At 36.4% G+C, this 17428-nt stretch overlaps 2 long non-coding RNA genes across 2 annotated transcripts in view; one reads left to right on the top strand and one right to left on the bottom strand.

Annotated features, from left to right (window-relative positions):
* LINC00639 (long intergenic non-protein coding RNA 639) overlaps positions 1 to 17428 on the bottom strand; it is a 167544-nt gene that overhangs the window by 138931 nt on the left and 11185 nt on the right. Inside the window, exon 2 of the long non-coding RNA NR_039982.1 lies at positions 2472 to 2529. This is a non-coding gene — a long non-coding RNA (long intergenic non-protein coding RNA 639). The remainder of the gene's footprint in view (positions 1 to 2471; positions 2530 to 17428) is intronic.
* Positions 1 to 17428, top strand: part of LOC105370457 (uncharacterized) — a 40472-nt gene that overhangs the window by 9540 nt on the left and 13504 nt on the right. Inside the window, exon 3 of the long non-coding RNA NR_135256.1 lies at positions 17247 to 17307. This is a non-coding gene — a long non-coding RNA (uncharacterized LOC105370457). The remainder of the gene's footprint in view (positions 1 to 17246; positions 17308 to 17428) is intronic.

Consider the following 17428-nt stretch of genomic DNA (forward strand, 5'->3'; position numbering starts at 1 on the left):
ATCCCAAGTTTATAGATAAGAAAATTGAGGTTCAAGGAGGTTATGTGACTTGACCAAAGCTATATAGTTAGTAATTTGGGATCCAGGACTCAACCCCAGGTCCATCTGCCTCCAAAATGTAAGCTCTCAAACATTATAACATACACTCTCTTGAAAGACTGGTAGGTGTTTAATAAATAGAAACTGAGCAAAGGACATTCCAAGCAGAGAGAAAGCACAACCAAAGTCATAGAGGTAAGAAATAGCCTGGCAGAAGTAGGAAACCAAAAGAAATTCCACAGTTTAAATCTAACGTAAAAAGGAATACAGAGGCCAGGCACAGTGGCTCACGCCTGAAATTCCAGCACTTTGGGAGGCTGAGGCAGGCAGATCACCTGAGGTCAGGAGTTCGACTCTACTAAAAAGAAATACAAAAAAATTAGCCAGGTGTGGTGGCATGCGCCTGTATCCCAGCTACTCAAGAGGCTGAGGCAGGAGAATCGTTTGAACCCGGGAAGTGGAGGTTGTAGTGAGCTGAGATCACACTCCAGCTTGGGCAACAGAGCGAGAATATGTCTCAAATTTAAAAAAAAAAAAAAGAATACTGAGTAAATGGTTCATTGGATAGTTCATCAGAAACCAGTGCAAGGAAGACTCAATAGAGCATGTTTTCAAGGATTCATGTTTTCATGGATCAGCTTTATCCTGAGGGCAGTGGAGAGCCATTGAAAGGTTAAACAGCAGAATAGCCTAATACATTTTGTACTTTTTTTAAGTGTTCTTGCAAATATGTGAAAGGCTTATTGAACAGATGTCAGAATGGAAACAAGAGAGCTAGTTAGGAGACTTTTCCCAGAATCCAGAGAACATATGAGAACGGCGTGAATAAAAGCAGTAGTGATGGTGGTAGACAGAAGAGAATCAAGAGGAGAGATGCTAAGAAGGTAGAAGGTATGAACTGATGACACACTGTAAGGGATTTAAAAGACAAGAGAGAGAAAGCAATGCAGGGCAACTCCTGATCTTCTAACTGGGGGACCAGGTGAATGATGGTGCCTTTGATCAAGTCAGGAAAAGGTTGGAAATAAGACATTTGGGAGAAGGAGATATTAAGTTTTATACATGTGGAGTTTAAGATAGAAAATACAGGTTAAGATATGCAATCAGCAGTATGATATAGATTGCTGGTGTTCAGAAAGGAGGTATGGGCTGGAGATCAAGGTCATCATTTTTAGTGATTAATGTCTTTATCTGCCTTTTCTGGAAAATACACAAAACCAAGGGGCTAAACATTAGGAAAATCTCTTTTAACCTTGAAAGTATCAAACTTGGATTTGCAGCAAGCTAAAAAATCCAGGAATATTAGGAGAGAGTTTTTCAAATCTATTATGTATAATTGGTACAAAAATTTCAACTAATTGAGAGAAAAAATAGAAAGACACAAACGTCAACCAGAAATATAGCATCCTCAGCATGCTCCTTGAATTTCACTTTTAAATAAATTTAGAATTGTTCTTATTGCATAAAAAGTCTCATCGATTATTTTAACAGATATCCCAAACCTACTCCTAATGTACTAGATTGCTAGATATTTCTATTTGTATATATTAGAATGTGGGAGTATTTGTAATAAATCAGGTAACTCAAGCAAACTGTACCAGAATACATTATCTTTTTTTTAAGACAAGGTGTAGCTCTGTTGCCCAGGCTGGAGTGCAGTGGTGCAATCACAGTTCACTATAGTCTCAACCTCCCAGGCTCAAGCAATCCTCCCACCTCAGCCCCGACAAGTAGCAGGGACTGCAGGTGCACCTCCAAAACCGGCTAATTTCTTTTTTTTTTTTTTTTTTTTTTTTTTTTTTAGAGACAGGATCTTGCTATATTGCGCAGCCTAATCTCAAACTCCTGGGCTCAAGTAAACTTCCTCCCTTGGCCTCCCAAATTGCTGGGATTACTGGCATGAGCCACCACACCTGGCTCATTATCTTTTTTTAATAATACTTAGCCCTGATTCTTCATAAATTGCTACATAGGATTATAATTATCGATAAAAATAAGAACAATCTTTTCAAGTAATAATTAACATAAATACTTATCCACTCAAAAAGACAATTTTTATAGCTATAGTAATATTCAATCCCATTTCTCACTCTTAACAGAATCCCTAATTTCCAATCATGTACTTAGGGGATTGGCTTAAGCATGTCAGCAAAATTACAAGCTCTGCCACAGTTATTGATTCAGGGATGGTGAAGGAACCCAAGCCTAAACAAGTCAATGCAGTATATAACACTCTCTTGGCATGCTATCTAAGTCAATCCAAGGAGAGTGAGTCTCAGGACTTTTGTTTGATGGTTAGAAGAGAAAAAACAGTATCACAGGAGGCAATAAAGAGATAGGAAAAAACTCATACTTGGTGATATCACTGGGTATTCAGACCACCCCTAGATTAAACCAACATTAGATAAAACCACCTCCAAATTCCAGCCTACCTCTTGTTCAAGTCAGTTTGAGTTGGGTTCTCTGAAACATCACCAACTGTTTCATTTTCTGCAATGAATAGAATGGATATTACTTATCAGGGTTTTTTTCTTCTATTAAGAAAGGTAATTAACAAAACTCCACTATGTAACTTCTTGAAATCTATCTGAAATGATCACACAAAAAAATTCAAGTAGTTAATATCCTAAAATTAAGAATTTTTTTTAGGCCGGGCATGGTGGCTCACACTTGTAATCCCAGCACTTTGGGAGGCTGAAGTGGGCGGATCACGAGGTCAGGAATTTGAGACAAATCTGGCCAACACAGTGAAACCCCATCTCTACTAAAAATACAAAAATTAGCTGGGCGTGGTGGCAGGCACCTGTAATCCCAGCTACTTGGGAGGCTGAGGCAGGTCAGCCTCCACTTGAACTCAGGAGGCAGAGGTTGCAGTGAGCCAAGATCACACCACTGTACTCCAGCCTGGAAAACAGAGCTAGACTCTATCTCAAAAAAAAAATTATTTTCATTAAAATTGCCTATGTTTATCAATAACGTAATACAGATTAGAATATTCCACAGGAAAAAAATTAACAGTGATTAAACATTTTTATTTATATAGAGATTTTATTTCAAGGTTAGTATATTAAATGTTACTTACAAGTAATATCCATTGTTATTGAAAGATAAAATTAAGGTTCTATACTTTCAAACCTTGAAAATTTTATTTCAAGACCTCCAGTTCCAATCACTCACATTTATAGACTTATATAACCTTATTAGGTTACCTACCTCATACGCTGTTTGACTTTGGACAGCATAGCATCCAATTCTCTGATACTAAACTCAGCACAACATCCTATCTTGCTCTGAGGCGGGCAGAGGATTGGTTTTGCTAGCAACACCCAATAATAATAAAGGGAGACCTTACACCTCAAACACCATATTTCTTCTCTCTGTGGCTTCTCTCATGATACTGCCTCTTCTTCTGTCCATTGCACTCCAACCCAATCAATTTAAATAGGCAAATAAGCTTACCAACCTATTTGAAATTTCCAGATGGGAAACAGGAGCAAATGCATGTAGTTGAGATAATTCACAAATACTGCCTCCCCTGACTTAGCATACTATACATTTAAAACATTAATCAGTCCCTTCAGAGACTCATTTTAAAAATTTGATAAAGAAAACACTACATAACAGAAAACAACTAACAAAGTGGCTATAGCAAATCCTTTCCTATAATTACTTTACATGTGAATGGATTGAACTCCCCAATCAAAAAAAATAGAATGGTTGAATAGATTTAAAAAATAAGACCCAATTATATGCTGTCTACAAGAAACTCACTTTATATTTAAGGACATACACATGCTGAAAGTGAAGCAATGAAAAAAAGATATTTCATGCGATGGTTACTAAAAGAGAGCAGGGGTGGCTATACTTACAACACACAAAATACACTTTAAGTCAAAAACTGTCACAAAAGACAAAGAAGGGCACTGTATAAAGATAAAAAGGTCAATCCACCAGGAAGGCATAATAATTATAAATATATGCACTCAACATCATAGTACCTAAATATATAAGGCAAACATTGAGAAAACTGGAGGGAGAAATAGCAATATGATAATAATAGAATACTTCAATACCTCACTTTCAATAATGAACAGAACATCCAAATAGAATATCAACAAGGAAACGAGAGCTTGAATTACATTATAGGCAAAATGTACCTAAGAGGTGTATACAGAATATTCTACCCAATGGCAGCAGAATACACATTCTTCTAACGTGGATCTTTCTCCAGAATAGATCTATTGTGATATAAGTCACGAAAAAAGTACTTGGTGCAGCAAAAGCAATACTAAGTGGGAAATTTAGCACAATAAACACCTACATTTAAAAAAAGAAAGATCTCAAATAAACAACCTAACTTAACACTGCAAGGAATTTTAAAAAGAGCAAATTAAGTCCAAGTTAGGAAATTAAGAAAATTTTTAAACTAGAGCAGAAAACACAAGAAATTAAAAATAGACAAAATAAGAAACTGAGTTTTTTTAAAGATAATCAAAATTGATAAACTCTTAGCTAGACTAACTTAAAAAAGGAGAGGAATCCAAATAGATAAAATCAGAAACGAAAGAGGCTTTCCAGGTGATGCTACAAAATAAAAAGGATTATATGAGAATACTGTGAATAATTATACACCAAAGAAATGGATAATCTAGAAAAATGGATAAATTCCTAGAAACACAAGCTGTCAAGACTAAATCATGAAGAATTGGAAAGCCTGAAAAGACCTATAACTAATATGGAGATTGAATCAGTAATCAAAAACCTCCCAACAAAGAAAACCTCGAGACCAGATGGCTTCACTGGTGAATTCTAACAAACATTTAAAAAAGAATTAACATCAATCCTTCTGACCATTAAGGAAGGGGGAACATTTCTAAACTCATTTTATGAGGCCGACATTACCCTGATACCAAAGAACAGCAGACACTATGACAAAAGAAAACTGTAAGCCAATATCCTTGATGAATATAGATGCAAAAATCCTAAACAAAATACTAGCAAACTGAATCCAACAGCACATTAAAAGGATCATACACCATGACCAAGTGGAATTTATCCCTGGGATGAAAGGATGGTTCAACATATGAAAATCAATTAAGGTGATACACTGCATTAACAGAAGAAAGAATAAAAATCACATGATCATCTCAATCAATGTAGAAAAAACATTTGATGAAATTCAACACCCTTTCATGATAGAAACTCTCAACAAATTAAGAATATAAGAAAAGTACCTCAACATAATAAAGATCTTACATAAAAATCCCACAGTTAACATCATACTCAATGGTAAAAAACTAAAAGCTTTTTCTCTAAGCTCAGGAAAAATGCCCATTCTCACCACTTTTATTCAACATGGTACTAAAAGTTCTCACCAGAGCAGGTAGGCATGAGAAAAAAATAAAAGGCATCCAAATTAGAAAGGAAGAAGTAAAATTGTCCCTGTTTACAGATTATATGATCTTATATATAAAAAATTCTAGACTCAATTTAAAAACTGTTAGAATAAAAAATTCAGTAAAGTTGCAGGATAGAAATACAACATATAAAAATCAGTTGCATTTCTATACACTAAAAACAAACTATCCTAAAACAGAAATTGAGAAAACAATCATATTTAAAATAGCAACAAAAAAATAAAATGCTTAAGAATAAATTTAACTAAGGGGGGGAACGACTTATATAATGAAAACTAAAAAACACTGATAAAAGAAATTAAACACGACATAAACAAATGGAAAGACGTTTGATGTTAATAGAGTTAAAGACTTCATATTGTTAAAATGTTTGTACTATTTAAAGTGATCTACAGATTCAATGAAATCCCTATCAAAATCCCTTGGCATTTTGTAGAGAAACAGAAAAAGCAATTCTAAAATTTATATTGGAACCACAAAAGACCACAAATAGTCAAATTAATCTTGAGGAAAAAAGAACAAAGTTGGAGGCATCGTACTTCCTGATTTCAGAAAAATATCACAAAGCTAGAGTAATCTAAACGTCATGGTACTGGCATAAACACAGACATATTGACCAATATAACAGAACAGAGAGCCCAGAAATAAATCCACACATATAAGGTCAACTGATCTTTGGCAAAAGTGCCAAGAATATACAATGGGGAAAGGACAACCTCTTCAACAAATGGTTTTAGGAAAACTGGATATCCACATTCAAAAGAATAAAAGTGAGGCTGGGCGCGGTGGCTCAGGCCTGTAATCCCGGCCCTTTTGGAGGCCAAGGCAGGTGGATCACTTGATGCCAGGAGTTCAAGACCATCCTGGCCAATATGGTGAAACCTCATCTCTACTAAAAATACAAAACTTAGCTGGACATGGTGGTGCCTGCCTGTAATCCCAGCTACTCTGGAGGCAGAGGCAGGAGAATCACTTGAACCCAGGAGGCAGAGGTTGCAATGAGCTGAGATTGCACCACTGCACTCCAGCCTAAGCAAAATAGTGAGACTACGTCTAAATAAATAAATAAATAAATAAATAAATAAATAAATAAAAGTGGACTCTTATACCACGCAAAAAATCAACTCAAAATAGATTAAAAATTTTAAACTAAAACCTGAAAATGTACAACTTCTAGAAGAAAACATAGAAGTAAAGCTTCATGATATTGATCTTAGTAATGATTTCATGGATATGACATCAAAAGCACTGGTGACAAAAACCAATATAAATAAGTGAGACTACATCAAACTAAAAGTTTTTGCACAACAAAGGAAGCAATGAACAGTGTGAAAAGACAAACTATAGAATATGAGAAAATATTTGCAAACTATATATCCAATGAGGGTATACAATCCAAAATGTACAAGGAACTTCTACAACTCAATAGAAAAAATAAAAACCTAATAATCCAATGTAAACAGGGGCTAGGGAATTGAATAGACATTTCTCCAAAGAAGATATACAAATGGCCAATAGGTGTATGAAAAAAATGCTTGACATCACTAGTCATCAGGGAAATGCATATCAAAACCACAAAGAGATATTACACCTGTTAGGATGACTACTATCAAAAAAATAAAAGACAACAAATATGGCAAGGATGTGGAGAAATTGGAACATTTAGCACGCCGTTAGTGAGAGTGCAAAGTGGTGCAGCCACTATGGAAAACAGTATAGTGTTTCCTCAAAAAATTAAAAATAGAATTATAATATTATCCAGCAATTTTACTTCTGGGCATTTATTCAAAATAATTTAAATCAGAATCCCAAAGAGATATTGGCACTATCACATTTATTGCAGCACTATTCATAAGAGCCAGGAGATGAAAATAACCTAAATGTTTATGGACAGATGAATGAGTTGATAAAGAAATATGATACGTAGATATAATGGAATATCATTCAGCCTTTAAAAAGCAGGAAACTCTGCAATATGTGACAACATGGATGAACCTTGAGGACATTATGTGAAGTGAAATAAGCCAGTCACAGAAAGGCAAACACTGCATGATTCCACTTATGAAGTAACTAAAATAGTCAAATTCATAGAATCAAAAAGGAGAACGGTGGTTGCCAGGGGCTAGAAGGGGGAACAATGTGAAATTACTAATCAACAGGCATAAAGTTTCCATCGAGCAAGACAAATAAGCTCTAGGAATCTGCAGAATATCATTGTACCTATAGTCAACAATACAGTTTTGTATACAGAAATTTATTGACAGTAGATCTCGTGTTAAGTGTTCTAGCCACAATAAAATAAAATCTTTTAAAAAGAAATCATTCGTGGCATAACTACAATGTGCAAGATTTTGTACTAAAGGCTGGGTGGACAAAAGATGTATTAGATGTTGCAAGGCTGGGCTATTAAATACCAAGTACTCTAAGACACTATTTCTAAAATTTGTATGGCTGCTGCCAATGATTCATGTGTGCCTAATTTAAACAAATCATCAGGATTTCCTTAGATGTAGATAATATCAGATGAACTTATCCAGATATTCTACACTGTTTCCCATTCTAATAATCAGACACTTTGATTAACATTCAACTTTTATTAAAAAGCAGAATTCTGATACTAGGGAAAATTTACAAGAAAAGCCAACACCAACATGCAAATATATTTATCACTAAGCTAATATGGCTATGTCAGTCTAAGCATTTGTTTTCCTTTATAACCGGAAATAGTGGTTTTCAACCTGTGGTCTGTGGAACCTCATGCTCCATGAGGTTACTTGAGGGGTCATAGTAGGAATGACAATCACATGAGGCTTGGACCTCATGCCTGCTTCAAATTGCAGCAGCTCTATTTTTATGTATTTCATAAATGAAAGGGGTGCAGAGGAAATGTGAGGAGTCATGTAAAATTTTACTTAGAAGAAAGGAATTTACTGCTGACAAGGTTTGAAAACTTCTCCCTTAAAAGAATAATATTGGCTGTGCATGGTGGCTCACACCTGTAATCCCAGCACTTTGGGAGGCCAAGGCGGGCGGATCACAAGGTCAAGAGATCGAGACCATCCTGGCCAACATGGTGAAACCCTGTCTCTACTACAAATACGAAAATTAGCTGTGCGTGGTGGCGCATGCCTGTAGTCCCAGCTATTTGGGAGGCTGAGGCAGGAGAATCACTTGAACCCGGGAGGCAGAGTTTGCAGTGAGCTGAGATTGCACCACTGCACTCCAGCCTGACGACAGAGTGAGAATCCATCAAAACAAAAAAAAAGAATAATATATTTGTTTTACCCTATAAAGTTGCTCCTGAACAATTCCTGACTTCTTGGTTAACTATCTGTCACCTATTCTAGTTTGCCTCTCAGATTAAAGGTAGGAATCGCTTCTTACATATCCTACTGGTACTATTTAACTACTTCCTTTCCTAAATTGATGGCTCCTACTAAGGAAAGATGCCTTTAATGTAACACAGAGTAGGATAGACTCCGCAGGGCACTTGGCCCTCTGCATTGTATCTCCCCATCTCAAGACGGAAGCCCAGAGGGAGCCTTCTCTCCCAGCCAGCTCCAAATTCACCTACTCATTACCCCTCCCAGTCAATGTTTGGCTTCTCCATTTTATAACCCAACCTCCTGCTAAGTTTCTGTAGCTTCTTAAAGGAGAGAAACTATTTTTTCCTCCATAGAGTCTAAAATCATAATACATATATAACAATTTTAAAAGAAAGCCCCAGAAAGAAGTCTACTGACATCCTGTTCAGTCTTATATTTCCACAAGTCAGAAAAGTCAGACTGCAGAACAAAGGGACTTAAGCACATGGGAGAGTGTGTCTTGATTTCACTTTGAAGAACTTTGTGCTAAGTCAAATCCATGCACTAAATAAAGGGTTACCAAGGAGTAGTTGTCCTTGATCTAAAATTTGTAAGTCTTTTCAATTATAAAAATCAATTTTATTTCCACTGAGTCTAGTATTTTAGTCATTATGTGAAAGCTATATATAATTATCCTTTGTGAATAAGGTGGGGTAAAAAGATTTTAAAATTTGGATCATACTTATAATTGGTTATTAATATGCACATAGGGAAAATCTTTATGCATGTGAAACTTTGTCAAAGACTTTCTGCAAGTATATTGAAGAGCCACAATATGACATTGGGTAAAGATGCAAATTAATTTTCAGGCATGTGGAGCCATTAAGAATGAGAATGAACATGCCATGAAGAATTAAAGGAAATTAAAAACACTTATGACTTTTTAATCTGTACAAACTATAACATTTTATCATCATAAAGCAACTAGTCTTCATAATATTTAAATGCTCACATAAGAATTAGAGAGAGTGAAATTCCCGAGAGTAACTATGCGTGGCTTTGCCATTTACAAAATACTTTTCTGATCAATCATTTCAGCTAGAGAATAATCCTTTGCCCAAGAAAGGTATCTCTGTCCTCAATTTACAATACCCAGAGACATTTAGTGATATGCCCAAGATCACATAGAAAGATAAAGAGAGAGAATGACAAGCTGGTCTTCTGACTTCCGCTACATCACACACACTATCCTGCAAGGCAGTCCACATAGCAATGTGCTTGTACCTGCACACTAGTATAAACACATGCTAATGCAGGCATACACCTGCTCTCCTTATACCTTACCCCTAAAATAACCAAGAAAAATGAAAATCCTATTTTTTAAAATAGCATTTGGATACTACATGTTCTCACCTATAAGTGGGAGCTAAGCATTGGATACACATGGACATAAAGACGGCAACAATAGAAACTGGGGACTACTAGAGGCCGGAGTACAGGAAAAGGGCAAGAGTTGAAAAACTATTGGGTACTATGCTCAGTACCTGGGTGATGGGATTATTTGTGCCCCAAACCTCAGCATAATGCAATGTATCCATGCAACAAACCTACACATGTACCCCTGAATCTAAAATAAAAGTTGAAATGATTTTTTAAATAAAGAAAAATTATAGGAAAGCACAAAGAAAAATGGTTTTGGAGAAGCTTTATTATATAAAACTATAAACTCACATAGCTAAACTTAATTTTATTATATATACATTTATAATAGTCTGCCAGGTATTGCTGCATTTTTACACACCTCAATTTCACTACTAGACCACAAACTCTTTGAGAGAAAGGACGATACTTTATATTAAAACATACTTTTGGACTCAGAGCATTTAACAAAATGCCTGGTATATAGTATACATATAATATGCGGGGTGAATTCAGGCATAACTATACCACAAATTTTAAGAATAAAACAAATTTAACTGTTTTTTGCAAAGTAGTCAACTGAAGCAAAGCCATTGTGTGAATCAACCAAGATAAGTTAGTGGCAGAGTCAGATCTAAACTCTAAAATCTAGACAACAATGAATTTTGAGACTTAGAAGCCATTTTATACGCTATTTTACCCGTCACCTTTGTTTTAGATAGATTTTGTTGGCCATGCAAAGAGGCTCACACCTGTAATGGCAGCATTTGAGAGCCAGGTGGGTGGATCACTTGAGGCCAGTAGTTCAAGACCAGCCTGACCAACATGGTGAAACCCCATCTCTACCAAAAAATACAAAAATTAGCCAGGTGTGGTGGCACAAGCCCATAGTCACAGCTACTCAGGAGACTGCGGTGGGAGAATCGCTTGAACCCAGGAGGCAGAGGTTGCAGTGAGCTGATATCATGCCACTGCACTCCAGCCTAGGCAGCAGAATGAGATCCTGTCTCAAAAAAAAATTTAAAAAGACAGCTTTATTGTGATTACCATGTCAAAGCCCTGAATCAATGTACATCATATATACACACAGACACACACACACACACACACACACACACACACTACTTATATTGAGCCACTGCTAGCTTCTTAATAAAAATGTTATCTATAAATGAGTGGAAGGATGCCATCAGCAAGTAGCCCGGTGACACCAGAAAGATGCTGATTTGTGTGGCTCAGGCGTCAGGCATTGACACCAAATGAGATTATCAATTGCTCCTCCAGCTCCTTCGAGTCCCCCCCACTGATATGAAAAGCAGGCAAGTCACATGACAGACCACTGACATCCACATCATACACCAGAAAGAACCATAATAACTTGCTGCCATTGAGACAAGAGTACATTGAGGTCTAACTTTTCCAGAAAGCCCCATCAGCTTCACTCACAGCTACTGTGGAGGAGAAACACTCCCTTACACTAAAAACCTCATTATAATTCCACTTATTTCATTTTCCTAGAATGACACTGGTAGGCATCTGGACTCAGATTCTGAGCCAGGCCAAAGAGTGAATGAATCAATGAGCATTCTATCCAGCAATAAAGGAATCGTATCCCTAGACTTTATGTTTAAATCCTGTTTATATTATATTCTGCAATTACATACAAACCCTATCGTTACCAGCTTTTTAATAGTTTGAAATTTCATTTAAAGACAATGAGTAGCTTGACTTTATTTCTGAGCACACAGCCATAACAGCCATTTCTATTTTTTAAATTCTCTATTGGAAGTTTCTAAAAAGTTCTTTGAGATTATTTTCAATGCTATATTGGATTGTGATTGATTTCTATTTTTATTTTATCCTGTCCTTCCACTTTTTAACTTACTAATGAAGAATCACTATAGCCTAAGTGCCTTACATGAAACCATACTCAGTATTTCTCACAAGCTCTCCTGACAAAAAGTTTGGCTGTCTCTATTTAAGTAATAAACTAGCAAAGAGGTGAAGGAACTAACAATATTAGCAAATTAATCCTTCTCAAACGCAAATGTGAACAAATGCCACTTCACTGCATACATTACCTCCTTATTAAAATTATGTCAAAGACGGTTTTGAAGACCATCCAAGATCTTTTCACAGAGTTCAGTTCAAGCAATTTGAACTGTAGTGTATAATTCCACTGCCTTTGTACTGTATGGCAATCGTGTACACTTTGTCTCGTGGACCTCACATAAGAAGATGTTTTGGAAGAACCACATTTTTCAGATATTTCCTACCAAGCTCAGCACATTGAAATAGACTGAATACAAGAGAGAATGAAACTAATTTAAAATTTTGGGAGAGAACTGCACATAAGCAATATAATTTAAGAGTTCTACTGAACATTTACAGACCTTCCCTTAATGCTGGATTTGTCTCTATTATACCTAAAAATTAATTTGTTAACAAAGATATATCCTATGCTATTCCCCAAAGACTTTTTTCTCCAAAAGGAAACTTCGAAATACAAGAAAGGAAAGTGTGACTATTCACTAATATGACAAATGGCAGAGTGGCATTCCAAACAAGCATAGCTATGATTAATGTATGTGCAAACATCCATTAAATAGAAAAATCTCTACAGTACCAAATAGAAATCCTGACCAAATCATGAGCTGTTATGACAAGTCCTCATTATTTTTACAACCCAGGAAACTGTTACCCAGTTGGAATCTCAGTGGTTTGGCCATGCCTGCTGGTGGCAAAATAAGGACAGATAATCCCTGAACAAAATATTTATACTATAATGAGCACCTTATCTAAAAATGACTTCTCTGAGCTCTGACAGCTTTATCTATATTACATAACCATGCAAATCACAGTTAGTTGGACTAAGGATGGATGCTTAATCCAATAGCATAAACATATTTCTTCAACTAAAAATTTGGTATTGGAATCAAGTAGCCAGTCAGCAACATGCAAATGTGGGGACTGTGGAGCACCTCAGAAAATGAGTCAGTGGGAGGATGGAGGAGCAGGGAAGAAGAGAAGGGAGGTAGTGGCTTTTCAGTTTTTCCAGCTCCTTTTCTGAGGCCCTGATGCATTCCTGATCTCGAGATATGTTTCTGTCTCCTTATAATAAATTCCCCTGTGTTGCTTACTTCTTGAGTTGACTTGTTATCTAAAACCCAGAATCCTAAGTAATGACACATCTATACATTAAGTTACTCTTATATTTTACTTACACTTTCATAGGTCTACAGCTTATCTCTTCATCCAAAGTATAAGGTCCCTGAGAGCAAAAACTATTCTCTATACTTGTTTGCAGTCATACACCACATACACAATACCTTGAATAGAGCAAGCAGACTTCAAATATTTGCTCACCCATTATGGCTCTATGTTGACATATTTTTTCATTTTTATTCAGAAATATTGTTGTTAATTGCATTATCATGAAAGTTTATAATTATGATCCATCGCGTGACCTACATACAAGCACACATGTTGTTTTGGTGGTGTTTTCTCAGTATTTGCAAACACAAGGAATTAACCTCCTGGCTCTGTTTTCCAACTTTTGGATAACAGATTGTGTTATGTGCTGTTCCTTGTATTACTTCTGCAACTTGTCCATGTTGAAAATGCAAATTAAGAAGACTGAAGAGCAGCCCATTAGATACACAGTTAAACAAGTTTCTCCGGGGAGGCAGTCAGAGCCACACACCCTGAGAAAACGGTGTATGTAACCAAGTCAGAAAAATTTCAACTAAGATACATGGTTTGTTGAAGAGCAGATGGTAGGAAAGAAAAGGGTTAGCTTTAGTAATCGTCCACCTTTCTTTCTTAAAAGGTCTTTCTAGCCTATAACCAAATTCCCTCCTTTCAGCATTGCCTCTCTGAGCCATTTGGGGTGGACCCCTGACAGCCATATGTGTATTATTTAACCCCAAAGTGACTAGGAGCAGATCTCTTTGCTTCTTCAGTTGAGGTCCTCATATTCATACCTTCCTATGCCCAGTAACGAGTCAATGTTCTCATGGTTTCCCCCGTGGATCACAGCAGCAGTGTCCCAGCAGTACTCTTTAAATTCATCCCATTTCTTTCCAATTCATTCTCCGTAATACTACCAGTTCTAAAGCCATCTGTTTCTACATCAGTCCTTTACTCAAGAATCAACATGTCTTTCAGAGGCCAAAACTGATCCCTTTACCCATTTGTCCTACTTCCCCACTACTGCTCATTTATCTATTCAATAATGTGTATCAAAGACCTGATAGGGGCAAGGCATTGTGCTAAGCACTAGGAACACTATGGGAAACACAGACAAGTAAACAGGTTGTAATGCTGTGGTGATAAGTCATATAATAGAGTTAATCATACAGTACTAAGATGGCACACAAAAGGCACACCAAATCCTGTCTGAACAGCAAGAAAAGGTTTCCTGGGCAAAATGATATCCAAAAGGCAAGTAGTTATTAGGAACATGGTGATGAGCAAGAAGAAATATGTGCATATGTGCATGGGCCGAGATGCAAGTGGCAGCAGGGGAGATGATGGAAAGTAGATGAAGATAGGTGGAATCAAGAAGACTTGGTAATGGATTGAATACGGGAGCTGAAGGGATGTGAGTGGTAAAGGGAGAGGGAGGTACCAAAAATGACTACCAGATACCTAGCATGAGAAGTCACATAGACAGGAGTGTCTTATAATTAAATGGAGAAAAGTGTTTGATAAGAAGATCATAAAGTCTAAAGAAAACTTGTGCTTAATATGGCTTCTTGGATATGGGTAAGAACATTTTCAAAGTTGAGTTCTTGTGGACAGATCAATATATTTATAGAAAGGATATACACGAAATAGTTAACAGTTGCTAGTTCAGTATGGCAGCCTTTTTATTTACCTATATTTTCTAAATGTTTGGTGTGAACACATAACACTTTATAACATAGCGATATTTTAAAGTATTATAAAGGATCTTAAAACATATGTATAAGCTATGATAGATGAAATAGGAGCATGAGACAAGATTGCAGCAAAATGTTACAATTTTTCTATGTTTCTGGGACAAATATGATCCTTATTTCTTCTTTTAAAAATAAAAGAATTGCATATTTGTAAAAATACAAATGACATAGCACCATCTGGTATTGAGAATGAACTTATCTGGTGAAGTGTGGTAAAGCAACATTTCAAGGCTCACAACCTCTACTCGCATGTTCCCTACAGTGTTAACTTTCTCCAAACGGGAGAAAGCAGTAGGCAAGACTGAGGCTCATGGCCCTCATCAATAACTCATCATAACTCATCAATAGTGCTGAGAAATTAAAGAAAAATTATTTTTCATAAAGATTATAAACTTAATTACTTGAATTTGAGCCTTACTTCTGCCCTAGGTCTTCTGACTCATATAAGTTATTTTACCATTAGAGTCCTGCAGGGGTTTTTTAATTTATTCATTATTTTTTACCTTCAACTCAAAGAGCTTGAGATGACTACAGACCTCTAGCTCCCCTTTAAAACTGAGGAAAATGCCTTACACTTACCTTATAATATTCAGCATTTGGAAAACTAAGTAATGTTGTTAAAAAGTCATTATCAGATAATAGGGATGAGGAAGAGATAACAACCATCTGCTGATGAACCAGTTTGGCATCCATAGCAAAAACTGCTCACCTGCTCACCAAACAGCCTTCATATTCTTCCTGGCTGCAGGACTATCCTGCGTTTAGTTATATGGCTATTTTGATGAGAATGGTGGTATTGGAGATGGAGAAAACTGATGGACTTGTTAGACAAAATCACTGAGGCTCTGTGGCAGATTGAGTATGAGGAGCCAGGAGACAGGGAAGTATCAAAAACAACTACAAGATGTCTAGCATGAGCTGCATGGACAGGGTGTCATAAGGACATAGAGAAAAGTACTAGACTGATAAGGGGATCATAACATCTAAAGAAAAATTTTGGTCAATATGACATCTTGTGATGGGTGAAAACAATGGAATGTGAATAGAAATTGTGTTTGTCATTTACTTCCCTGCTTCATAAAAATCTCCCATGTGCCATCCCTCATTCTCTTTCTCCACTCACTGGCTAAAATAAATGCAGCTGATTAGAACACCTTGTATCAGAGTCATAAAATGAAAAGAGACTGACTTCCTGAATGACTACATGGAAAGTGGACTACTTTCCTATCACTGCTATAACAAATGATCACAAACCCAATGGTTTCAAACAAGGTAATTTATTATCTTACAGTTCTGGGGATCAGAAGTCCTAAAATCATGTTGGTAAGACTGTTTCTTCTGGAGCCTTAAAGGGACAATCTGTTTCCTTGCCTTTTCTAGCTTCTAGAGGCCAGTGTCATTCCTTAGCTCATGGCCCCATCCTACACCAGCAGTGCCACATTTTCCAGTCTCTCTCTCTGTCCCTCTGCTTCTGTCATGGCCTGCCTCTGTGTCTCTACTACCTCCCTCTTTCTCTTTTCAGAGCCCTTATGATTAGATTGGGCCCACCCAGATAATTCGGGATAATCTTCCCATCTTGATATCCTTAACTTAATAACATCTGCAAAGTCTCTTTTGCAATGTAAGGTAACCTATTCACAGGTTCTAGGAATTAGGATGTCTTTGTGGAGAAGGTCATTATTCTGCCTACCACAGAAGGTATTTTGGATTTCACATGAGTGAGAAAAACTTCTGACTGTGTTCATTCATTAACTTCATGAGGCTTGTCTCTTACTAGCTGATATGACTAAGCAATAGTATCTAAAATACAGTAAACCATAAAACAGTAAACATCTGTCCCCAGCTGAATTGTAGTTTAGACAGCAACCACCTCTTACTCCACTTTGTTACTAACAAATTGTCCTCCACATAATAACATGTAATGATACTCCAGCAATGTTTACTAATGATAAGGGCATCATGGTAGGATAGCTAGAAATAGCCTAGGGGTCATTTAAAATCTTATTTAGCAAACAGCTTCAACCTTTTCCAATATTAAAACTTTAATTAGAACTTTCAATACCTAAGGAAAATTTTGCTCATTTATTAATACATCTTACCTTTTTTTGCCTGAATTATTTAAGATAAAGATGCTGCCAAGAAATGAAGTGCCACAAAAAGAAGAAAAGACATAAGAAGATACTGGTGAGACCAATAACTCATGGATAAAGTTTAAATAATCATATATTTAAAGTTCATTTTTCTTCATTTCATGAAATGTGGGGCTTGGAATTATTACCCAAAGGTCAAGTTGACCTCAGTGTCC

This window comes from Homo sapiens, chromosome 14 (assembly GCF_000001405.40).
Source record: "Homo sapiens chromosome 14, GRCh38.p14 Primary Assembly".
Lineage (NCBI taxonomy): Eukaryota > Metazoa > Chordata > Mammalia > Primates > Hominidae > Homo > Homo sapiens.